This window comes from Homo sapiens, chromosome 12, assembly GCF_000001405.40.
Source record: "Homo sapiens chromosome 12, GRCh38.p14 Primary Assembly".
Taxonomy (NCBI): domain Eukaryota; kingdom Metazoa; phylum Chordata; class Mammalia; order Primates; family Hominidae; genus Homo; species Homo sapiens.
Genome location: NC_000012.12, coordinates 19,643,410 through 19,668,902, shown reverse-complemented (window position 1 = coordinate 19,668,902; position 25,493 = coordinate 19,643,410). Strand labels below are relative to the sequence as shown.

The 25,493-nt window shown below is 39.9% G+C and overlaps 1 long non-coding RNA gene across 4 annotated transcripts in view, besides 4 other annotated features; it reads right to left on the bottom strand.

Moving 5' to 3' along the window:
* Positions 1-25,493, bottom strand: part of LOC101928387 (uncharacterized) — a 120,046-nt gene that overhangs the window by 4,187 nt on the left and 90,366 nt on the right. For 2 of the 4 annotated variants that reach the window (XR_007063236.1, XR_001749035.2), the window contains 2 exons: positions 18,425-18,507; positions 16,880-17,528 (listed from right to left, as the gene is read on the bottom strand). This is a non-coding gene — a long non-coding RNA (uncharacterized LOC101928387). Of the gene's footprint in view, positions 1-15,450; positions 15,662-16,879; positions 17,529-18,424; positions 18,508-19,005; positions 19,206-25,493 lie in introns of those variants that run through there. The other 2 variants (XR_007063237.1, XR_001749036.2) reach the window with 2 other exon arrangements.
* Positions 2,483-2,982: an enhancer, noted in NCBI's record as "H3K4me1 hESC enhancer chr12:19818855-19819354 (GRCh37/hg19 assembly coordinates)". NCBI's record gives its function as "activates a minimal SCP1, AML or CMV promoter by ChIP-STARR-seq in primed H9 embryonic stem cells {active_cell/tissue: H9 hESC(primed)}" and the evidence as "EXISTENCE:reporter gene assay evidence [ECO:0000049][PMID:30033119]".
* Positions 7,159-7,324: a silencer, noted in NCBI's record as "fragment chr12:19814513-19814678 (GRCh37/hg19 assembly coordinates)". NCBI's record gives its function as "represses an EF-1alpha promoter that drives an FKBP-Casp9 reporter gene in an ReSE screen in phorbol 12-myristate 13-acetate-treated (for megakaryocytic differentiation) K562 erythroleukemia cells {active_cell/tissue: K562(+PMA)}" and the evidence as "EXISTENCE:reporter gene assay evidence [ECO:0000049][PMID:32094911]".
* Positions 20,755-21,256: an enhancer, noted in NCBI's record as "NANOG hESC enhancer chr12:19800581-19801082 (GRCh37/hg19 assembly coordinates)". NCBI's record gives its function as "activates a minimal SCP1, AML or CMV promoter by ChIP-STARR-seq in primed H9 embryonic stem cells {active_cell/tissue: H9 hESC(primed)}" and the evidence as "EXISTENCE:reporter gene assay evidence [ECO:0000049][PMID:30033119]".
* Positions 24,713-25,272: an enhancer, noted in NCBI's record as "OCT4-NANOG hESC enhancer chr12:19796565-19797124 (GRCh37/hg19 assembly coordinates)". NCBI's record gives its function as "activates a minimal SCP1, AML or CMV promoter by ChIP-STARR-seq in primed H9 embryonic stem cells {active_cell/tissue: H9 hESC(primed)}" and the evidence as "EXISTENCE:reporter gene assay evidence [ECO:0000049][PMID:30033119]".

The following is a 25,493-nucleotide window of genomic DNA, read 5'->3' as shown; positions in this document are numbered from 1 at the left end:
GACATCAGAAATAATATACCTTTACCTTTACTGATATGAAAGAATATTTTTCATACAGTGGAAGGGAAGGAGGAAAAAAGGAAGGAAAAAGGAGAGTTGACATCTTAGTAGTCAAGATGTTCTATCTGTACATAATTGGTTGATGTATATATAAATCTATATACATATAGACTATATAAGTATAGTCTATTATATATATACTTATATATGAATATAGATACACATACTGTGTATATTATTATACATAGTATGTATGTCCATATATATATTTCTAATTAGAAAATGTATAAACAGAGAGACCATTTTCAGGTTCTTAGGCAAAACCACTTCTGAAGCTAATTAATAATGAGGATTGTAGAAGTAGACATAAAGATTCAAAGAAGTAGAAACCAAATCAATATTTTCTGAAACTTTACTCTTCATCTTGAACCTCTCGGAGTGGCAATCAAAGGTTCTTTATGTGCTTAAGTTAAAAAGTCTTACCCTAACACACAATTCCATGTGGAATAATCAAACAATCCAAATATCAGAATTCAGACAATTCTTAACGGAAACCTAAAAAGAAACATATAGAAAAGTCCCCTAACCTTCAATTTAAAACAAAATATGTTTTAAATATTTTGTAAATATTTAAAGTAAATTTTTCTTAAAGAAAGTCTTTTCTAACCACCTACTCTCTCTGTCCCAATTTCCATTTATTAAAATTAAAATTCATTTATCCTCTTGCCATCCTGGAAAATTCCAGATTATCTATCCACTGCCTTTGACCATGCTGCTCTCTCGCTGTTAACAGAACTCTGTCACCTTGAGGTCCTTTCACGCCTTTATCTGGAGTAAGTAGTGCTATTGATTTGAAAGATTCACAGAACACTTTTTGAGTGGTCCTGGAGATCCTCAGTTGTGATGTACTGTTTACTGTTTTTTTTTTAAACAAAAAAATTCTTTTAAGATCTCCATAGTATTGTTTTTAAACTTTTATTTCTGCTCCAACTCCTTCCCCTTCATCTCATACCCCACCACACTAGGCTTAGCCACCTCCTTCTCCATAGTATTTATGCAGCTCATATATACATTTATCCTGGCATTTATGGCACCAAAATCGCCCCAAATTTAAATAAATTATCTCAGATAATTAGTTTCCTAGAATATTACAAGCTAGCATATCTGGTCCTCCAGCCCCACCCACTCTCTCTACACACACACACACACAAATGTTTGCATTATCCCCATATAATTTCCAAAAGATAATACAAACTCTTTCAAAATAGGCTTAGATTAACTTATATAGCACCTATTAAGTGTTAGACCCTGTTGGCTTTAAAGACCGCTTCATTTCATCAACTTCCACAGTAGCTTTTACTCCCATTTTGGAGCTCAGGAAACTGAAGCACAGAAATCTAGGTAAATTTCCCAAAGTTGCACAACCAAAGGGTGACAAAGCCAGGACACAAGCCAGCCATTGGCCTCCATAACAGAGGGACATCTGGCTCTTTCCTCTCATTTGATCCTATGTAGTAGTTTCTTCAACAGAGTATCCCAGATTGATCCCTTGTCAATTTCCATTGCCAAATCCAGGCTCTCACCATAAAACTAGCCTCCCCACTTAACAGTTCCCATCTCACCCATAACATGCACCTCCAGAAAAACAAAACTTTACATACACTGTGATCATCACATAGTCCCCTAATTAAGAAGCCCTATTATTTCTCAGATTATATCCAGATATCCAGGTTTCTCCTGCTAAAAATTGGGCTTCTACAGCATTTTTGCACCTACTTCACAAGTGTTTGTTTCACACTGGGGACACAGAGGGATAGAGTCCTTGCCATCAGAGAACTTACAGTCCAGTAAGAGAAAGCAGACACTTAAATAAGAATGTGAAAGAGTACGTGTCTAAGTCCGTTTTCTGTTGCTTATAACAAGATATCTTAAATTGGGTAATTTACAAAGAAAAGAAATTTATTTCTTACAGTTATGGAGTCTAAGTCCAAGGTTGAAGGGCCACATCTGGTGAGGGCTTTCTCGTTAGTAGGGACTCTCTGCAGAGTCCTGAGGGAGCAAAGGGCATCACATGATGATGTCTGCTCAAGTCTCACTGTCTCTTCTTATAAAGTCCTACTCCCATGATAACCCATGAATTCATTATTCCATTAATCTACTAGTGGATTTATCCATACATGAGGGCAGAGCCTTCATGACCCAATCATCTCTTAAAGTCCCCACCTCTCAATGCTGCCACGTTGAGGATTAAATTTTAACATGACTTTTGGAGGGGACAAATACTCAAACCATAGCATTCTTTTACCAGCCCCCCCAAAACTCACGTCCTCCTCCTATACAAATACATTCATTCCATCCTCATAGTCCCAAAGTCTAAACTACTTCCAGCACCAACTCAAAAGTCTAAATTCCAGAGCCTCATCTATGAGTCTTTGAAATCAAAACAAGTTATTTACTGCCAGGATACAATGGTGAGACAGGCATAGAGTAAACATTCCCATGGCAAAAGGAAAAAATAGGCCAGGATAAAGGAGTAATGGGCCCCAAGAAAGTCCAAACCCCAGCAGGGCAGACCTCAAAGCTGGAAAATAATCTCTTGTTATCATGTGCTACTTCCTGGAGAGACTGAGGTGGGGATTAGGCCCCCAGGGCCTAAGGCAGTCCCATCCCTATGGCTTTACTTGGAGCAGTCCACATGGCTGCTCATAAGGGTTAGAGTCCAGTACCTGTAATTTTCCCAGACACTGATTGCATGCTGCCTGTGGTTCAACAGTTCTGGGGTCCTGATGGCTGTCTGGCTCCCATGGCTCCACTAGGTAATTGCTCCAGTGGGGACTTTCTGTAGTGGCCTCACTTCCACAGCTCTACTAGGCATTGCCCAGGTGAGGACTCTGTGGCAGCTCCAACATCACGTTTTCACTCTGGCATTGCTCTAGTGGGGGCTTTCTGCAGTGGCTCTGCCCCGGCAACAGGTCTCTGCCTGGGCTCCCAGGCTTTAGCAACATTCCTTGAAATCTGGCTGAAGGCTGACAAGCCTCCACAGCTCTTGCTTTCTGCAAGCCTGCAGAATTAGCACCACATGGACACTGCCAAGGCTTACTTAACACCTCAGGCCATTTGAACTCCAGTTAGAGTGGCCAAGAAACACTGCACCAGAATTTGGGAGCAGAGTTCCAAGGTGGCCCAGGGCAGCAAGCCTGTGGAGTGTGCATTGGGTACCTCCCTTGAAATCACTGTGCCCTTATAGGCCTGTGGGCCTGTGATGGCCTGTGATGGGAGGGGCAGACTCAAAGATCTGTGAAATGCCTTCAGGGTCTGTCTCCCACTGTCTTAAAAAATAGCACCTGGCTCCCTTCTATCCATGCTAATCTCTTTGGCAAATGTAGCTGGACTATACCCTTGGTTTCCTCTCCTGAACATGCTTTTTCACCCTTTACATGGTCTGGCTGAGCTTTCCAAATCTTTCTACTTTGCTTCTCTTTTGATCATAAATTCCATCTTCAAGTCATATTTTCCCTCTTGCAGCTTAGCATAAGCAATTAAAAGCAGCCAGGCAGAAGCCTGAATGTTTTGCTGCTTGGATATTTCTTCTGCCAGCTACCCTAATTCATCAATCTCAAGTTCAGCCTTCCACAAAGCCCTTGGCCATGGACACAGTTCAGCCAAGTTATTTGCCAGTTTATAACAAGGAAAGAAGGATAGCTTTTATTACAGTTTTCTTTCTTTTCTTTTTTTTTTTTTTTTTTTTTGAGACAACGTCTGGCTCTGTCACTTAGACTGCAACCTCACTCACTGCAACCCCAGGCTCAAGCCATCCTCCCACCTCAGCCTCCCAAATAGCTTGGACTACAGGCATGCCCCATCGCACCCAACAAGTTTTTGTATTTTTTGTAGAAACAAGGATTTGCCATGTTGCCCAGACTGGTCTCAAACCTGTGAACTCAGGAAATCCACCAGCCTTGGCCTCCCAAAGTGCTGGGATTATAGGCGTGAGCCACCACACCCAGCTACTACCATTTTCAATACCTTGCTCCTGAGTTCCATCTGAAACCTCATTAGAATGGCCTTTACTATCCAGATTTCATTCAGGTCATGACCACTGAACCAGTCTCCAAGGAGTTCCAAACTTTCCCTAGTCTTCTAGGAGTCCACTGAGACCCTGGGAGCCCGTTGAAATTATTCAAACTAGCCAATTCTAAGCCCTTATCAGAATGCAGGTTTTTTTCTAGACTGCTTCTCCAAATTCTTCCAGCCTCTGCCCATTACCCAGTTCAAAAGCCACCTTTACCTTTTCAGGTATTCATTATCAGCACCACCCTACTCTCAATTCCAATTTTCTGTCCTAGTTCATTTCTGTTTCATATAAGAGAGTATCTAAAACTGGATAATTTATAAAGAAAAGGAGTTTATTTCTCATGATTATGGAGCCTGAGAAGTCCAAGGTCAAGGGACCACATCTGGTGAGGATCTTCTTGCTGGTGGGGACTCTCTGCAGAGTCCCAAGGCAATGGAGGGCATCATATGCGGAAGGAGCTGAGCATCCTCACGTGGTTACTCAGGTCTCTCTTCCTCTTCTTACAAAGCCACCAGTCCTGCTCCCATGATACCATATTAATCCATTAACCCATTAATCTATTATTCCATTAATGAATTTATCCATTCATGAGGGCAAAGCCTTCATGACCCAATCACCTCTTAAAGTCTCCACCTCTCAGTACTGACACACTGGGGATTAAACTTCAGCATGAGTTTAGGAGGAGACAAATATTCAAACTATAGATTCATGCTATAGGCACCTTTAGTAATATTTGAAAAATACAGTGAAATAGCAAAGAAGGGAAGGTGATCAGTGGGAGGGTTCGAGAAAGACTGAGGTGCTTGGAGTGCTACATCATGGAAGGGGCACTTCCACAGGAGGAAGCAACATGAGACACAGCACAGAGAAGCAGTAGATTACGGTCTAGTTCACCCAGCATAATTGAAGTGGAAGTTGCAAGACAGGTAAGCATGAAATAAGAGATAAGGTCTCACAACAGTTAGAACGGTGGTCATTAAAAAGTCAGAAAACAACAGATGCTGGAGAGGATGTGGAGAAATAGGAACACTTTTACACTGTTGGTGGGAGTGTAAATTAGTTCAACCATTGTGAAAGACAGTGTGGCAATTCCTCAAGAATCTATAACTAGAAATACCATTTGACTCAGCGATCCCATTACTGGGTATATACCCAAGAGATTATAAATCATGCTACTATAAAGACACATGCACACGTATGTTTATTGTGGCACTATTCACAATAGCAAAGACTTGGAACCAACCCAAATGTCCATTGATGATAGACTGGATAAAGAAAATGTGGCACACATACACCATGGAATACTAGGCAGCCATAAAAAAGGATGAGTTCACGTCCTTTGCAGGGACAAGGATGAAGCTGGAAACCATCATTCTCAGCAAACTAACACAAGAAGAGAAAACCAACCATCCCATGTTCTCACTCATAAGTGGGAGTTGAACAATGAGAACACATGGACACAGGGAGGGGAACATCACACACTGGGGTATGTCATGGGGTGGGGGCCTAGAGGAGGGATAACATTAGGAGAAATACCTAATGTAGGTGACAGGTTGATGGGTGCAGCAAACCACCATGGCACATGTATACCTGTGTAACAAAACTGCACACTCTGCACATGTATCCCAGAACTTAAAGTATAATAATAATTTAAAAAAAAGAGACAAGGTGTGGGGGAAAGCTTTTGTATGGATATCTAGAGTTTACCCTACACTGCTCTGGTTAGCACCTGCTTCTTTAATACTTATAATAATTGCAGCCCATATTTGTTTATTTATAACTACAAGTCAGTGCTCTGCTAATTATTTTACATATATTATTTCACTTACATCTCATGACAGTACTGGAAATTAATTATTCTGATTTTACAAATAAGGCAACTAAGGCCCAAAGATATTAAGTAACCTGATTAAGCTCATTTCAAAGCAATCTAAATTCCTTTATCTAAATTCACATTGCACTTTTAGTCTGTATTATCCAAAGCTTGACATTCATTTATTGTCCTTCTGATCACCATAGCTCCCAAATTGGGGAACAAAATAAAGCAATATTTTCTTTAATTTTTTCTACAGCATCTTGCAAAGAGCTGGGAAAAGCATAAATATGTAAACATTCTAGCTTAAAAGTCACTTAAATAAATCCATATAAGGCTCTTTTACAACTTATCTATTAAAGCTTTGCATTGAAATGCAAGTCAAGACTATTGTTTTTATGGTGGTTTTCGTAACTGAAAAGATCATTGATTCTATTAGCTTTTCGTCCATCATGGCCAGGCTGATAATGATCACAATGCAGGTCAACCAAAGTCTGCAAAGTTGACTGCAAAGGGGGCAGACCAGCCCCTGCCCCTACCTCAGTATGTGAAGACATAACAGGAACACTGCTGGGACCCAACAAATGGCAAATAATGCTTTAGAGCAGCATTATAAGGCTTTTTGAAACTCTTCATTCAGTCATACAGGAATGCAGTAATAACAATGGAAGGGATTTTAATCCATCTGTCACTTTTTTTTTTCTTTTTTTGAGACAGAGTCTCACTCTGTTGCCCACATTGGAATGTAGTGGCATGATCTCAGCTCACTGCAACCTCCACCTCCCGGGTTCAAGCAATTCCCGTGCCTCAGCCTCCGAGAAGCTGGGAATACAGGAGTGGGCCACCACCCTGGCCAATTTTTTGTATTTTAGTACAGACAAGGATTCACCATGTTGCCCAGGTTGGTCTCGAACTCCTGAGCTCAGGCAATTCGCCCGCCTCGTCCTCCCAAACCAGCTAATTTTTGTATTTAAAGAGACAGGTTTTCAACATGATGTCGAGCCTGGTCTCAAACTCCTTGGGCTCAAGCAATCCGCCCACCTTGGCCTCCCAAGATGAGCCTGGCCACCGCTCCAGGCTCATCTGTCATGTCTTAGAATTGCCTAGAATCCATTAGCATCAACCAAGTGGATTCAGAAGTTCCTTGATCAAAATGCTAAGAAATCCATACTCTGCTACTTATACTGTGTGACCATATTAACTAATTTTTTTTTTTTTTTTTTTTTTTTTAGATTGAGTTTCTCTCTGTTGCCCAGGCTGGAGTGCAGTGGTGTGGTATCGGCTCACTGCAACCTCCACCTTCCAGGTTCACTCCCAGGTTCAAGGGATTCTCGTGCCTCCGCCCCCTGAGTAGCTGGGATTACAGGTATATGCCACCACACTCAGCTAATTTTGGCATTTTTAGTAGAGACAGGGTTTTTGCCATGTTGACCAGCCTGATCTTGAACTCCTGACCTCAAGTGATCCACCTGCCTCGACCTCCCAAAGTGCTGGGATTACAGGCGTGAGCCACCAGCCCGGCCTATTTTTCGTATTCTTGATGCTCTGGCATCTGAATCCCCACTGACGGGGGCAAGATTGCCCCTTCCAGGGCTAGCCAATTCTTAGAGACAGCAGCCCGCTCCCCTGCAAGTGTGCCTTTCATATGCAACCCAACTAATCCAGAGTCCTTACTTCAAACCGCCTCCTCTCTCTGGCTTTTCCACTCCAGAAGGCATTATTCTTCTGCCCTAAGCATACCTGGGCCACTTACCAGAAAACTAGGGGCGGTCCCTACACACTGGAGCCCATTGACATTCAAACTAGCCAATCCTAAGCTTAGGTACCCTGCCTCACTTGTTCCTTCCTGTGCACCCACAATAAAGGCTCTTGCTCATGCTTTCCTCCTGTTCCTTCTGCCTCCTGGGTGACCCTGGTGCTTCCCTCATGTGGCCCTGTGTGGCATGCTGTGCCTCCTGTGTCTAGGGAACTGTGAGTAAAAATGTCTTCCTCCATAATAGTCATTTCCATGTCTGCATGTCTTACCATACACGATTAAAACAAATCCCAGATACATTTTTAAATTGTGATATTGGGGGAGTTTCCTAACCTTCCTGTGATTCAGTCTCCACATGTTTACAATGAAAGTAATAATATCACCTGCCTCAAACTGTTATGAATATAATTAATATAGAGAAAATGTTGAGTTCAGTACTCAATACATAGGGTACATTTAATAGCTGTTAGGTGTTATTATAATGATTAATAAGTCATAAAAATAATGTATTCTAAAATTAGCATTCTAGGCTGGGTGCAGTGGCTCACGCCTGTAATCCTAACACTTTGGAAGGTCAAGGCAGGTGGATCACCTGAGCTCATAAGTTCAAGACCAGCCTGGGCAACATGGCAAAACCCCATCTCTACTAAAAATACAAAAAAATTAGCCAGGCATGGTGGCACACGCCTGTAATCTGAGCTACTCAGGAGGCTGAGGCACGAGAATTGCTTGAGCCTGGGAAGTGGAGGTTGCAGTGAGCTGAGATCATGCCACTGCAATCCAGCATGGGCAACATGAGACTCTGTCTCTGTGAAAAAAAAAAAAAAAATTAGCATTCTAAACCAATATACTTTATAAACTATGGATTACTGCTATGGCTTGAATGTCTCCTCCTAAACACATGTTGAGATTTAATTGCCTTTGTAACAGTATTAAGAGGTGGGATTTTAAGAGGTGATTAAGTCATGAGGGCTCATCAGATGGCTGCCTTCTGTGTTCATGAGGGTTCTGCCCTCATGAATGGATTAATACCATTATCACAGGAGTGGGTTAGTTTTATAGAGACTGGGTTTGTCCTAAAAGTGAGTTTGGCCAAATTTCCTCTCTCCATCCTGCTGTCGCACATGATCACTTGCCTTTGCACCATGTTATCATGCAGCAAGAAGGCCCTCAACAGACGCCAGTACCATGCTGTTGGTCTTCCCAGCCTCCAGAACTGTGAGAAATAAATTTCCCTTTGTTATAAATTACCCAGTCTTTGGCGTTCTGTTACAGTGGCAGGAACAGTCCAAGACAATTACTTTTAGTTTTGATAGTCATATATTTAGCACGCATGGGTTTAGCAATACGTGAGAAACACTAAAGTTTCATACCATCTCAATATCTAGTTTTGCAAAGGAAGGAATCAAATTGAGCAGAATGTGAGTATGGTTTTAGTGTGAGTGGCCCTGGACAATGGCCCAAACTCTAGTTTCAACATGGCTTCCGACAGCCTGACCAATGGGTTATTAAGTAATAAAACTTTCTTTGATTCTCTCTGGAAAATACCCTTCCAACCCACCCCCCTAAAAATGTTGGCTGTTGATGTAAGAAAATATTAAGTAAATAAATTTAAGAAAGGGATGATTCGAAGCCAGAAAATGTAAGTTTTGGATAAATTAAAAGACAAAATATTAAACTCAGCCAAAGCTGGGATGTATGATGTAAAGTTCACCAGATGCTCTATATAAAAACAAGAAAGAGCCATTCTTTAGACTGTTTCAAGGAGTGTTCCAATAAAATGCAAACATTGCTTCTATATGAGAAATCAAACCATATTTTAAATTAAAAAGGGGCTCAACTTACAAAATAAAGGGATATATAACAGATGACTCAGGGTAAATGTGATTAGAGAAAAAGCTGGAAGCTTACTTTTTTTTTTTTTTTAAGTAGTAGGGAAACTAATAGGGAGTGAGGGCACTGGACTGACCTTTGCTGTGAATAAAAGTACATTTAAAGTGTTAACAGAGAATTTTCCCCAGAAATATGAAGTGCACATGAGATACATCATTAACTTAGCATGTTGCTATAGGAGCATTTTCTTTCACAGCAAAGAATACACTGCGTTATATATCAACAAATACTCAGCGCAGATGAAAAATCACAATCATAAAAAGTAGATAATATTTTTAAATATAAAGTCAATATATTTTCTTACACTAATTTCTAGTTCCCAGTTTTCCCAGGGGTCTCCCTTACATTGAATCAATGGTATTAATTACTTAAAAGAAGTCAGTTTTGGCCAGGCATGGTGGCTCACGCCTATAATCCTAGTACTTTGGGAGGCCGAGGCAGGTGCATTGCCTGAGCTCAGGAGTTCGAGACCAGACCGGGCAACATGGTGAAACCCCATCTCTAATAAAATACAAAAGAAATTAGCCAGGCGCGGCAGCATGTGCCTGTAGTCCCAGCTACTCAGGAGGCTGAGGCAGGAGGATTGCTTGAACCTGGGAGACGGAGGTTGCAGTGAGTAGAGATTGCACCACTGCACTTCAGCCTGGGCAACAGAGCAAGACACTGTCTCTAAAAAAAAAAAAAAAAGTAGTCAATTTTAAGTTTTAGGTTATATTTTAATACAAGTGAATCAACAGGTTTTACTTTCAGAGAAATAAATTGTTTTAATCCTAAAATCTTTTATTAAGTTCAGAATATAGAATTTATGAGACTAAAATAGAAAGAATGCAGGTTATGACATCAAAGCAGCTTCCTGTACATAGGAAAGGAAGTAAAAGCTCAAGTAGCAAGGCAAGAAGTAGAAAGAATTGAAAAGGTAAAGCTAGGCCGGGCACAGTGGCTCAGGCCTGTAATCCCAGCATTTTGGGAGGCTGAGACTGGAGGATCACTTGAGGTTGGGAGTTCGAGACCAGCCTGGCCAACATAGTGAAACCCTGTCTCTACTAAAAATACAAAAATTAGCCAGGCATAGTGATGTGCACCTGTAATCCCAGCTACTTGGGAGGCTGAAGCAGGAGAATCGCTTGAATCCAGGAGGCAGAGGTTGCAGGGAGCCGAGATCGTGCCACTGCACTCCAGTCTGGGTGACAGAGAAAGAATCCATCCCAAAAAATATTAAATATTAAAAATTGAAAAGGTAAAGCTAGCGTAATATAATGCCTGAGATTCCAAGAAAGAAATCAGGGCCTACATACCACCTTCCTGGGCCACAACCTGACAGAAACGCCACCACCACCACTACCACACTCCTGCCAAAAAAAAAAATTCCCCAAATCTCCATGCCTGGCTAGCTAGATGAGCTAGAGCTAGCATTTCTAGTAGTCCATTACTTGAGAATAGCATGCAGTAGATCCTGAAATTTGCATATGCTCACATGGGTAACATGGAAATTCTAAGAACAATAGACTTTTTAAAAGATAATTTCATTTTTTCAGGGAAGTATAATGACTCCCATACAAATACAAACTGAACACAATTCAAAGACTGTTTTTAACTCATTAATTAATGAGGGAATTGGTAAGATGTTACATCTGGCTCTAAAGAGAATTCAAAGAATATATATATAAATGCTGCAACAAATTTACAAATAGATGCAAAATGGAGCTGTCTGCAGGGCAATAAATTATTGCATTCCACTAGATACAAGTCATTTGCATTGCTGCAGACAAGAATCATATACATCACTTTTAGTTTCCTACAATTTACAGAACTGTAAAATAGCTCAAACACAATGAAAGGAACCAGATAACTAGAAGGATACACTAGACTATGCTTTGTTTTTCATTAAAGACTCGCAGTAATCTTTTCTTTCAATTTACAGTCTTTCGCAATGATTGGAAGATACCTGTGATCTGGAGAAAAAAAATGAGAGTCTACAGAGACCTTACCTCCCGAGGCAATGGCAAATCTCACAGCCACTAGCAGTGACAGTCAAGAGAATGACCAAGAATAGGATCCAACCAGCCCACTATGAGGAACACCAGCACAGAAGGCCTGGTCACCACAGTGGGATAAGGGTCCAGCTGGTAGAGTCCAGCAAAGTCCCAGAGGGTAAAGGCCTCTTCCACTCTCTTCAAGATACTAAGCTTCTGCATGAACCCAGGCACCAACTTGGGAAGGAGGAATGAGGAGAGACCCCTTGAGAGATAAGAAAAGCTTAAACTTTTAATGAGTATTTAGCAGAAAGCAATTGATTTGAAACAGAAGAAACTGGGTTGCTTTTTATTGACCAGGGGCATATGCTGAATTGTGCCCTCACACACACAAATTTGTGTGTTGAAGCCCTAACCCTCCATACCCCAGAACTTAACTGTATTTAGAGATAGGGCCTTTAAAGAGGTGATGAAGTTAAAACGAGGCCCTAAGGGTAGACAGTAATCCAATCTGACTGGTATTATAAGCAAAGGAAATTTGGACATACAAGGAAACACTAGATGCCCACACACAGAGGAAAGACCATGTGAGAACACAGAGAGAAGGCAGCCATTTGCAAGCCGAGGAGAGAGGCTTCATGAGAAACGAGCACTGCCAACACCCGAATCTTGGACTTCCAGCCTCTAAAACCATAAAAAAATTAATTTCTGTTGTTTCAGCCATCCAGTCCCTGGCATTTCATTACGGCAGCCATAGCAAACTAATACAGCATTTTAAGGGTTGTGGGGTGTTCATTTCATATCAGTAGGAGCAAAAGCAAGATGAAATGTCGGTTAAATAAAATGTAAAAAGCTACTTGTTTGTTTTTTGGTTTTGGACATCCGTGGGCATTTTAATCCTGTCATATAGGATGAGTGCTTCATAGGTTTTGGACACATTCTCAGACCCAAAGATACGAATAACCTTTACTAGTTAAAGGTCTTCAATAGAGCAAAGCCTATGGCCACCAAGGAAACAAGTCTCAAAGAGCTCAAAACCTCCTTCTGGCCACTGCTCAGTGTCAGGCTTCTACAGGATAGAAATGATGAGGGGAAGCAGAAGGTATAAGACTGGAAAGAAGATATTCTTTTTTTTTTTTTTTTTTTGAGACGGAGTCTCGCTCTCACCCAGGCTGGAGTGCAGTGGCACAATCTTAGCTCACTGCAAGCTCCACCTCCCAAGTTCACGCCATTCTCCTGCCTCAGCCTCCCAAGTAGCTGGGACTACAGGCACCCGCTACCATGCCCGGCTAAATTTTTTGTATTTTTAGTAGAGACGGGGTTTCACCATGTTAGCCAGGATGGTCTCGATCTCCTGACCTCGTAATCTGCCCACCTCAGCCTCCCAAGGTGCTGGGATTACAGGCGTGAGCCACCGGGCCCGGCCAAGAAGATGTTCTTGAGTCAGGTTCTTTCCTAAAATCATGATTGGCAGTTATCTTCATCCATTTGTGCTGCTATAATAAAGTTCCTGACACTGGGCAATTGATAAAGAATATAAATGTATTTCTCTCAGCTCTAGAGGCTGAGAAGTCCAAGGTCAAGGCACTGGTAGGTTTGGCGTCTGGTGAGGACTGCTCCATCAGTGGCATGTTCTTGCAGTGGCATCCTCACATGGCAGAAGGAGGAGGAGTAAGGAGACCTTAAGCCAGTTCCCTCTAGTCCTTTTACAAGACACTAATCCATTCACAAGGGCAGAGCCCCCATGGCCTAACCACCTGCTAAAGGCACCCCTCCTACTACCACCACAATGGGGATTAAGTCTCAACATGAATTTTGGAGCAGACATAAATGTTCAGACCATAGCAGCAGTATTTTTTCTCTTTTTCAAACTGTTATGTGTTTCTGAGCCCTTCTGTTGGGGGAGAAAGATCACAAAGGTTTTCTGGAAAAGCAATTCTAAACAGATATCTGAAGAATATGTTTTTCATTCAGTGATTGCTAAGGAAAAAAAAAAAAAAACTCATTAGCTTTGACCTGAATAAGGATACACTCATACACTCAGGCCTAAGTGTCTGGTGTAGAAACAGTGCCACACTAACTTCAGTGAGAAAGAAAAGCACAAATACTACATTTCCAAATTTAGTCAACTAGGGACATTGAGTCAGGCCAATTTAAAACAGGTCCAAAATTTCATCATTCCAAGGAGTTGAGTATTGTCTCTTATCTACTAATCTAAAATTAAATTTCCCGTTTAGCTTTGACATAGAGACTATTTATAGACATTCAAAAAAAAGAAGAAAATCAAAAGGCTTAAACCCAGGTCATAGGTCCTAAAACCAAAAGCAGTGAGAAGAAAGTGACATCTAATGGTTGGTTTCCTTCAAAACATCTCTGGTTGCCCCCTAAAACTCAAGAGACAAGGAAAGGGAGATTTTGACCTTAGTCATTAGAAAAAGTCTCAAAAATCCTAAAAAGTCAAAAATGTCATCCAGCCCTCTGGGAAACCGGCTCAATGCATTCAAATTAATGTCGTGCTGGGCTGCAGAAACTTTTGACCAGAAGGCATTCCAAGGAGTAACCATAAACAGCTTAAATGATATTAGATGCGTCATAAGATCTTTTTTTACTCTTGTTAAAAATAACAATAACAAACACTTATGAAGTACAGACATGTGCCAAATCCTGGCCTAAGTGTCTCATATATACTAACTCATCTAAAGATATTTTTCCACAATATTTATACGCATGAATAAACAATAGATTCTACTAAAATTCTTAAGGCTAAAGTAGGAATGAATTAATGTTGTGAAAAGACAGGAATATTAAATGTATTTCATTACTTCTTAGAACAGAACTGCAAAAGAACTTGAGAGGTCATAGTTCAGGAGTTGTTGAAAAATCTATCCCATGAGAGAAAATGCAGCATTTTCACTTATTTTTATTTATTCCTTCATTCTTTCTATGCTGCTCTTTGCTTTCTTGTCTTCCATCTTGTGAAAATATTTATGACAAACTTTTTATCCTGTCATTGCATTTTGCTGGTACTTTTTAGGCTTAAAGGTGAACTCCTGAAGTTTATCTCCTTCCAGGCATCATCTCTTCAATTCTGGAAACAGTTACCAGATAAATGGTGGTAACTAGCTTAAGCGTCACAGGACAAACGGCCAGGCTAATATCAAGAGTAGGTATATGAATCACAGCTATGTTTCTGCTGCAGCAAAATGTCTTCAAATAAAAATTAGACCATAAGCATTAAACTGCCTACTAAAAGAAGATTTTTTTAAATATTATATGTTAACCACTCAACCAGTTAAATATCAAACAATATAAACTGCTCCTACATTTAAGTGTAGTTTCATTTTTCATACAAGTTATAGAAGTCATATGTATTCTTACCTACAGTTTTATCAGTCAATAAATTACATGTGTTCTCCTGCCTATACGTAAGTTCAGTCTGAGAGACAGCATCAGGGATTTTTTTATAATAACCATTCCTTTGCAATGAATAAAGACACTAATTTATCTCTTATGGACTCATAATTTGTTCTGAAGCATCTTCTGTTGTTATGTGGACCCTCTTCATGCTCCTTGAAGGCTGGAGGAGTGCAGTGATCCAGGGCTTCACTGGTCTCCTGCTTTTGGAGTTTATCTCTGCTATATGCAGAAGCTTTTATTCCCTTTTCCTTTTGTAATACTCAGAACAGAAAATGCATAGACTACCTACCCTTACCGAAATATATAAAACTCTTTGCTTATATTTCTTCAATCAAGAAGAGGTTCTGTTGAGAACCAAATTTCTACATGGCCCAATCTTCTTTCCTTCAACTTTAAAGATCATTTATAATGTATTTTACAAAGAACACATTAGGATTATCTATTAATCAAGCTGGTAATCTCCATTAGAGGAATTGATTATTTTGTACTCCTCAGAACAAAAGGAACACAAATTTCAGACATATAACCCAGAACAAGTATAAGGATTTAATCAGCCCACTGCTGAAAAGAAAAAGCCCTGGCCCGTATTATTTATTGGTGACTTCCAGGAGCATGGACATAAGATCTTTTTTTCTTTCTGTTTCTTAAAGAGGAAAATTGCAAAAGAAACAGGAAATCTATCCTTTTCTCTTAATGCCTCTTAAGAGGAAGAAATGTTTCAGTCACGTTTCTGACTGTGGAAAAAAATGATAAGTTACTGGTTAAAAAAAAAAAAATCAAAGATGAACTCCATAACATTCTCCTTTCCTTAGAGTCCTCAAACTCTCACACAGTCCAGGCCCCAGAACCCTGCCCTCAGTTTCTTCCCAAATAAAGTCCTCCTCAACCTTTTAGGAAGCTTCCCTCCCAGCCTCACTCCAGGCATTTTTCCAGTACCCAAGAGGCCCTGGCACATGTTGGGTTCTCAATACCTGTGCCCTAAGTTAATTAACTATAAAACGAGCATGGTTATAAGCTTATTTTCAACTCATCCACAGGTCAGTTTCTCTGGCCAGAGTCAGCCTGCAAATACAGTAATTTCAATTTCACAATTGTATTTCTAGAGCTGTTGAGGGGAAGCAATCATGTTAGGCCAAACTAGCAACTGAGCCAGGCCTTGTGTCAGAAAGATGGGGGCTGACAGTGGCTAAGGCAATTTCCTCCAAAACACTAGGTAGTTAGGTCAGGAGAAACTTAAATAAGGCAATAGCTCTTCTTGTCATCAGAGGCCTTGGTTTTCACATCTGTAAAACAAAATCCTTGGTCTAAATGACTTCTGACACACTGACTTAAATTTTGCCACAGAGTTCAAGCTAGAAACAAGAAAGTAGCTGTAAAAGCCAGGGCCCTTCATGGTATAGCTAAGAGAGAAATCTAATTCACCAAAAATTCAGAGAGGGGAGTGCTTCTCATGAGAAAAGAATGAGAGACTAATTCCCAAGGATTTTCTCTTCAAATAGCACGTCGTGGAGAAAGAAAGATAAATGGAGAAATGTGGCAGTAAAAAAATTCTGTAGATGAGAAAAAAGACAGGGAACTTCTTAGTACCTGCCCTAGTCGTAAATTGTCAATAGAGACATGCTTTTCAAACTATGGTAAACAACTTGTTTTGTTTTTTATTTCTAATTTTATTGTAAGCTGATCTCTGATCTTTGTTAAGTTAGAGAGAGACATCGTAACACTTCATCTCTAAAGTATGGAAAGAGAGCAAACACTATCTTGAAGGTAATAATTACAGAATTGCTTAGCCCTGGTCTAGCAGATTTTAAAATAAATTTTGCAGAAGTGCGTTAAAACGAGCACACCGTGAAGGGCCTACTTGCAAACTAACAAGTTACCCTGCTAGAGTTTATGGATGCTGGGAGAAGACGTGAGACTCCTGGATTACAGGCAAATGAGAGGCTATTACTCACCACAATAGTAGTAGCCACGGTATCAGCATCTGAGCCAATTCCTCCAAACCCCAGTACCCGCAAGGTGATGCAAATAGGGCTAGATAATACCAGCATCCACAGTCAATTGTGTTCCAGCAAAAAAAAAACAAAAAAACAAAAAACTGAACTTAGAAAACCTGAATATTTTATAACAGGAAATAAGCATGCCTGCCTATGTCCTGGAAAGAGACATCATCCTTATTATATTGTATAGTAAGCATGCTTATATGTTTGCCCCAGAGGAGGACTACCTCTACCTGCCAAGGTGTATTAGTCTCCTGTTGCTGCCATAGCAAATTAGCACAAACTTAGTGGCTTAATGGATACAAATGTATTATCTTGCAGTTCTGGAGTCAGAAGTCCAAATTGGGCCTCACTGCGCTGAAGTTTCTTTTCCATTTTCTTAACTTTTTCAGCTTCTAGAGGTCACCAGCATGCCTTGGACCATGGCCCCATTCTTCCATCTTCAAAACTAGCAAAGGCAAATTGAGTGCTTTTCACATCACATCACTCTGACCTCATTCTTCCACTTTAAAGGATCCTTGTGATTACGTTGAGCCCACCTGAATAATCCAGGATAACCTTTGTATGTGAAGGTCCTTTAGCTGATCAGCATTCTTAATTTCATCTGTAACATAAATTTTCATTTGTTATGCAAGGTAACGTATTCACAGGTTTCTGGGATTAAGCTATGGACATATTTGGGGAGCCATTATACTGCCTACTACACAAAATAATAAGAAAATCTGCCCTTTGTTCTAGAGCAAGCTTGTCCAACCTGCAGCCCACGGGTCACATGTGGACTAGAATGGCTTTGAATGTAGCCCAACACAAATTGGTAAACTTTCTTAAAACATTATGAGGGTTTTTTGAGATTTTTTTAGCTCATCAGCTATAGTGAGTATGTTTTATTTGTGGCCGAAGATAATTATTCTTCCAATGTGGCCCAGGGAAGCCAAAAGATTAGACACCCCTTTTCTAGAGGGAGATACAATGTCTGTTGTCCAAGGCTGTTAACTATACTATACAAGCACCCTTCAAAAGATAGTTTATAACAAGGAGAAGTCAATGCTTTGCTTCACAAAACACACAGACATGTGAAAGAGCCATAGAAGATGGACCCTCATGACCAGCTGCTACTCTTACATATCGGCATAAGAAATCGAGTAAGGATATTTAATTGCTTTAAACTATATGCATATATTTTTTAAATATGACACCTGACCATTTGGATCACAAAGTTATCTTGGTCAATATAGGTTAAAATCACTATATAATTCCATATATTCATGGAAAGAGAAACTATACTGAATCTTTTTAACAGACGTTTCCCAGTTTAATCACGGATGAAGTGTGTAATCAACCATCATCCACTCACAGAAATCAATGAACACTTACAGGAAACAAAGTGGTTTGAACAACCCAACAAAGTTTGCTTGGAGGTCAATGTTGGGGAAAGAGTCTTTTGATATTTAATTCCAGTGCTAAAGAATTTTCTCTATCAGGAAATTCTTCATACTTAACCTTAAATCTTGGTATTTGCAGCTTTAACTCATCTCCTCTTAATCTGTCCTCAGGGAGCTCTTTCACATGATCCTTAGTGTCTTCTAGAAAGGACAAAGATGAGACTCTCATGATACTCTCCACAATAAATTGTTCTGAAAGAAATTTTCCCTGCTGCTCTTATACCAAACCCATAAAAGATATATGCTTCGGTAAATTTTAGTTTTCTAGTGAAGATTAATTCTATCCATACTAAAATATTCTCATTGGAGTAAGCGGAGAGATGTTTATCATCTTTGGAGAAAGATTTGCATTTTCTATTTTGTTTGTAATAAGTTAAAACAGAAGTTACAACTGAAACAGCAAGGAAAAAAATAGATGATAAAGTACGAGACCATATGCAGAAGTTGCAAAGGAGTTAGCCAAAAACTCCTTAACAATAGCTCTTAAAATCCTTCGTGTACATCAAGGTTATAAAAGGGCATATTGATAAATATTGGTAAGAATTTGTGAAAATAATTTATTTGGGAACAGCTGTTGCCCCTCTCTGAATCCCAGTGCTTCAACATCGCAAAGGAGTTTAGGGAAAACCTGACCCTTACCTCATGAGGGCAAGAGAGAGCTTCAAGAAGACTACTCTGAGAGTAAGGCAATCCTCCTAACTGATGAAAGCTGGATAAAGAAGAGTTTGCTTCTGTTTTGGAATCAGCCTTCATTTCCAAAGTTCATCTAGGCAAATCATGTGTTTCTTCTATACAATGTGTGGGCCTAGGGTCACCATGCATGGTGCGCAAGTTGTATGCTGTCAAGGGTACAACATCTAATGTCAAGATTTATTCACATGGTAGTCATCGTAAGTTTGTATATTTACTTTCTAGTAGACGGCAATAGAAGTTCTTGTTCTAACAAAACCAGTATATATTACAACAACTTCCCCATAAAGTGTCTTGAGAAATGGGCACCTCTTTCTAATAAACACAAAGAACCACATGGACAAGCATGGGCACTATGTGAGTTTCATGTGTGAGAGAAAGAGCCAGCAGAGAGGTTGTTTTTCATCCCATTCAATAGAGCTACCTAGAGAAGCTAATGAAACCTCAGCAAACAGAAGCCAGAGGTAGACCCCCTGATTGCAAGGATCTAAAGATGAAATAAGCAAGAGCATTCCACTGGAACAAGAGAACTACAGATTAGAAATCCACCATCAGGAGAAGAAGTTGGTGCCTACAGAACAAAAGAAAGCATCCCAGGCTGGGTGCCGTGGCTCACGCCTGTAATCCCACCACTTTGGGAGGCTGAGGTGGGCGGATCACGAGGTCAAGAGTTTGAGACCAGCCTGGCCAACATGGTATAACCCCATCTCTACTAAAAATACAAAAACTAACCAGGCATGGTGGTGCGTGCCCATAATCGCAGCTACTCAGGAGGCTGAGGCAGGAGAATTGCTTGAACCCAGGAGGCGTATGTTGCAGTGAGCTGAGATCATGCCACTGCACTCCAGCCTGGGTGACAGAGTAAGACTCCGTCTTGAAAAAAAAAATTAAAAAAAAAAAAAGCATCCCAGGAGAGAGAAAGCGTTCAGGTTAAATATTGGCAAACCACCAATCCTTCTTCTTCCATCCTATTTCAACCACTAGGGTCAGTAGCATGGTTGACAAGATGGAAAGCATGACAGAAGCACGTGTAATGCACCACATCACATCTAGGTTGGAAAGTCCTAGAGGAATGTTGGTTGCTTCTCTCATACCCTCAGAAACCCCCTAGGCTTAAATAACTTCTGCACATTCCCAAAACCTAGTTCACACACATGCAGGAATTATGATTTATGATGTTCCTTCCATCTCAAAATTTTAGTAAATTTTAACATTATTTTTTATAGTTTGATCTTTACTGGCATTTAGAGTGCTAAATCAAGTTTAGCCTAAAGCTGCTTCCTTCCATATTTTAAGTTTGCCCTAAAGGTTATTCTGTACTTCGTGAACTATAACAAATGGAGGTATAATCAGACTTTAGCCTACACTGAGTTCTGGCCAATTAATGTAGCCAATTGTTCAAACCGTGTTCAAATAAGGCAAACGCTGAGCTGTAACCAATCCAGTTGTTTCTGCACCTCACTTCTGCTTTCTGTATGTCACTTTCCTTTTTCTGCCCATAAATCTTCCACCACATGGCTACGCTGGAGTCTCTCTGAGCCTACTACTGCTCAGAAGGCTGCCTGATTCACGAATTGTTCGTTGCTCAATTAAACTCCTTTAAAGTTAATTTGGCTGAAGTTTTTTCTTTTATCAAGAGAATCACAAAACAAAAGCAATCTAAAGCCAAGGAAGGAAGTACAAAAGCAATTAAGTTTAAAAGGGACAGAAGACCAAAAGGTATATAAAAATAAAGCAGGAAAAATGGAAACAGTTTGCAGCAGACAAAGGGGCCAGATTTCCAAGAAGAACAATGTGATGCTTTTTAATGTAATTGGTCCCTCATGAACTAATCAGTAAAAGCAAGATGGCTGACAGACGGATCCAGCCACAGCCTCCAACAGCTGTCTAGCCCCCCTGAGGTGATCATACTCAATCGCACCATTTGGGGATGTGAATAACAGAACATCAAGCTGTGAAGGTAAAAAGCTGGGAAACCAAGGAAACTCCCTGAACAGGAGCCTTGAGAACAAATAAGGAAGATAGTCCAGACCCAGCATGGACATGAAAGCCAAAGGATGACAATGCACCCAAATTAACAGAAGCCAGAAAATAGGCGAAAACCAGAGATTTGCCAAAATTGCTAAGTTCAAACCAGGTCCACGACTAGGATATTTGAGAGTGAAACAGGGTAACTTTGAAACCCAGAGAAATAAGCAACAGCCTTCCAAGGGGGGCACAGTTGCTCCAGAGATGCAAAAAGATTTTAGAAGTTACTAGGTCCCCGAGGGTTTTAAAGTAATCCGTCTTCCTATCCTCTGCTTTTACAGGTACTCTTCCTATAACTGTTAACAGCCTGATAATGCACTCTCCTATTTCTTGGTCATTTTTCTCCTGATTTACCAAAAAAAAAAAAAAAAAAAAAAAAAAAAGGTCTACCTGTCACCCATCTCAAACCTTAAGATGGTTCTAGAACCAAAGATACAATTACATTAATTATTTTAATCAAGCCCCCATAGTTTCACAAACATACCCCTCAGTGAATCTAATTGAGATGCATTTTCTATATATTTCTCCTTTTTAAAAATAATTACCAAATGTTTTAATACATTTATACCATTTTGAGTAGCTGCAGACTATTAATAATTACAGTGATAATTTGATGCCAAAGAAATATTTTAACACTAGTAACCTTATCATCACAAAAAATTATAGGTAATTTTTAACTTCAATTTTATATATTTGTTGTTGCTGCTGCGTTTAAGTTTACTAGGGTGAATGTATCCAGGGACTCAAGAGAAACAGAAGATAATGGACAGCCAGAAAGAGGGAGAGAAAGAGTTTTTTTGTTGTTGTTTTTTGTTTTTTTTTTTTTTTTTGTAATTGACTCATTTGATTGTGGAGCCTTGGAATCCTGAAATCTGTTGAAATAATTTTTGGAAGGCCATTAAACCACGGCAGCTCCAGCACCCTGGGTTCCTATGTAAGCAAACTGAAACCCAACTAGATGTAAATGGTCATAGTCCAGGCCTGTCAGAAACCACCACCTCACCTCTAGCTAGGGACTTTCCACTGGAATGATTGCTTTGCCTTGCTTCCACATTCACCATATAAAAGCTCCCCCTTGTTCTCCTTTTCTGGAGCCCTGAACTGCCTATGGTCTGGAACTGCCCAACTTATGATTCATTGTCCACCCAAATTTGAATGTGACTTAGTTTATATTTTAACAAATCTGTGGGGTAGGCTGACAGGCTGGAGACTCAGGCAGGAGTTAATGTTGCAGTCTTGAGTTTTCATCTTCAGAAAATCTTTCTCAATTTTTGCTCTTAGGGCCTTCACCTAACTAGATGAATCACCACTGACATGGTTTGGATTTGTGTCCCCACCCAACTGTCATGTTAAATAATAATCCCTAATGTTGGAGGTGGGTTTGGTGAGAGGTGATTGAATCATGGCGACAGATTTCCCCCTTTGGTGCTCTTCTCCTGATAGAGTGCTCACGCGATCTGGTTGTTTAAAAGTGAGTGGCACCTCCCCCACCTTCCTCTTGCTCCGGCCATGTAAGAGGTGCATGCTTCCCCTTCGCCTTCCACCAAGATTGTAAGTTTCCTGAAGCCTCCCCAGTCATGCTTCCTGTACAGCCTGCAGAACCATAAGCCAATTAAACCTCTTTTCTTTATAAATTGCCTAGTCTCAGGTATTTCTTTATAGCAGTGCAAGTACAAACTAATTCAACCACCCACATTATCAAGGATGGTCTCCTTTAACTCAAGTAAACTGATTGTAGATGTTAACCTTTACTTAAAGTCAACTGATTGTAGATGTTAACAACATCTGTAAAATGCCTTGTCAGCAATACTTAGACAGTGTTGATTGAACAACTGGGAACTATAGCCTAGACAAGTTGACACAAAAACTAACCATCACCTTGAACAACCATAGAAGTGCAAAAATATGTTACATTATGATAAAATTCTGTAAGAGAAGTAGGGTAAAAATACAATTTCAAATATCAAATATTTTAAGAGTGTTTTATTTTTCATCTTTTTTGTGTTTTTAGAGACAAGGTCTCCCTCTGTTGCCCAGGCTGGAGTGCAGTGAAGCCATGAAAGCTCATTGCAAGCTCAAACTCCTGAGGTCAAGCAATCCTCCCACCTCAGCCTCCCCAGGAGCTGGGACTACAGGTACGGCCCACCACACCTGGCTAATTTTTGTAAATTTTTTGCAGAAATGGGGTCTCACTATGTTGCCCAAGCTGTCTCAAACTCCTGGCCTCAAGAGATCCTCCCACCTTAGCTTCCCAAAGTGTTGAGATTACAGGCATGAACCACTGTGACCAGCCTCTTAAGAGTGTTTTAAAACATATATTACATCTTTTGTAAGGTTTTTGACTTATGATGAAAAACAGTATATGTCAACATAAAAGTATGCAAGTATTGATTATCAAAATTCCGGTAGGGGTTATGCAAGCAAAACTGAAGACAAGTTCTAGCTAGGATAACAGAGTACAGTAAGTTCTCACTTATCATTATTGATAGATTCTTGGAAACTGACTTTAAGTGAAATTATGTATAACAAAACCAATTTTTTTTTATCAATGTTGTAACAAAATGAGACATTGAAGGAAATGCTATTTGAGGACTTGCTGTACCTCCTTTCACTTAAAGTTGAAGTTTCCAGGAACTTATTGATGATGTTAGTGAGGCCTTACAGTATTGTTGCTAAATTTATGGACTCAGACTGTACTGTACCTACATATTAGCTGTGTGAATTTAGGGAAATAAATGAAATTCCTCGGTTTTGGGGAATGTTATTTAATATGCTATATTATTAGCACTTATCGATCAGATTTGGAGGTAGATTAAGTGACATAATATCTTCAAAGCACTTAGCACAATTTCTGGCACAGAATAACTCCTCAACAAACGCCAGCTATTATTATTATTCAGCAGATGTCAGTTGTAGAACATAAATCCACGAAGACCTATAAATGCAAGAACTCACACCAGGCTTGTCTTGCCTGCTTAGCTTTTCTCTGATCCTCTCTGCTAGTAAATCCCTGAGGCTCCATGGCTAGACACTAAAAGATTGGTCCTAAATCCCAACCTCAGTTCATAATGTATATTATCTCCAGTTTTCCTCCAGAAAGTGCTCTAGCAATGGAACCCTCAAGTTCCTTCATCTGTCTGTTTCAGCTGTAAGCCTTGCAGACCAGGCATGTTTACTTTGGTAAACATTTTGAGGGTTTTCCTGTCATTTGGCATGTGTGTGGCTCTCTTCAAACTCTCCGTTTGTCAGCCCAAATGCAGTTCTGTGAGCATCCTGGGGCTGCTTAGATAGATAGATTATTGAACTATCCAACTATTTTCTAGAATTCTAACTTAAATTTGTTCTGCAATTTAAACCTGTCTTTTTTTTTTTCAAGCGGAGCCTAGGAAATAGGCCTCTTCAAAGAACGAAAACACAAAATGTCGGATTAACTCTTCAGTGTAATTGATTTTCAGTGTGATCAAAGATTTCTTTTAATTCGATCTTCACAAGGCATAGACTTTTCTGGAACAACCTTGCTCCTACCCCTATTTAAATTTAAAAATTAAATCATTTTTTAAATCACTTAAGTAATAATGTACTTTGAAGACACTTCAGAGAAATGAAACAAAGAGGGATAAAATACCACATTTTCATCACCCAAAGACAACCATGTTAATCTTTTTAAACTCTTTTTTTGTGAGAAGAAAAAAAAATCTCCTTCTCCTACTACACACACACACACACACACACACACACACACACACACACACACACACCAACCACCAAAAATAAAAAAGGGGAGTAAAAGCAGATCCAAATGTGATTTCCTGCCTTTAAATCTGTTGCAGACACTTATGCTAATTACCCAGCAACCTTCATTTCCTTAGGTCACCGAAGAGAACAAGAGCTTTTCTCAGCAGGCTGAGTGGTTCTTACCTGCCTCTCCGCTAATGAAATTCCCAGTTTTGTCTCTGGCTTTTGCTAACAAGGCAAGCCTCCTACCGTTTCCATCCTTTAGATGGCAGCATGATCTCTAACACTTTACGGCCTTTTTTCCCAAGTTATGCAATTCTTGCAATTAAAAAAAAAAGGTTTAATTTTCTGAGGGAGTGCTGAGGAGCTGGAGAAATTAGGAGGGGAAAGAGGAGCCATTGAGGATGAAGGTATGAAAAATGGAGAAGCCAGAATTTGCGTGTGGAATCTGAATGTTTCCAGTTACCACATCTACCCCTATCCCATTACAGATAGCAAATAGGTGATGGATACACATCTATGTGGTAACTGGAATTTTATTTTTTACATTTTGATATTTATTAACAAAAATGGTCCTGAAAAGGATTGAGTCAAAATTACAAAGTGATAAGAGTTAAAATAAAAATCGTTCTTAACTGTATTGTCAGCTGGGCAGAGTGGCTCCGGCCTGTAAT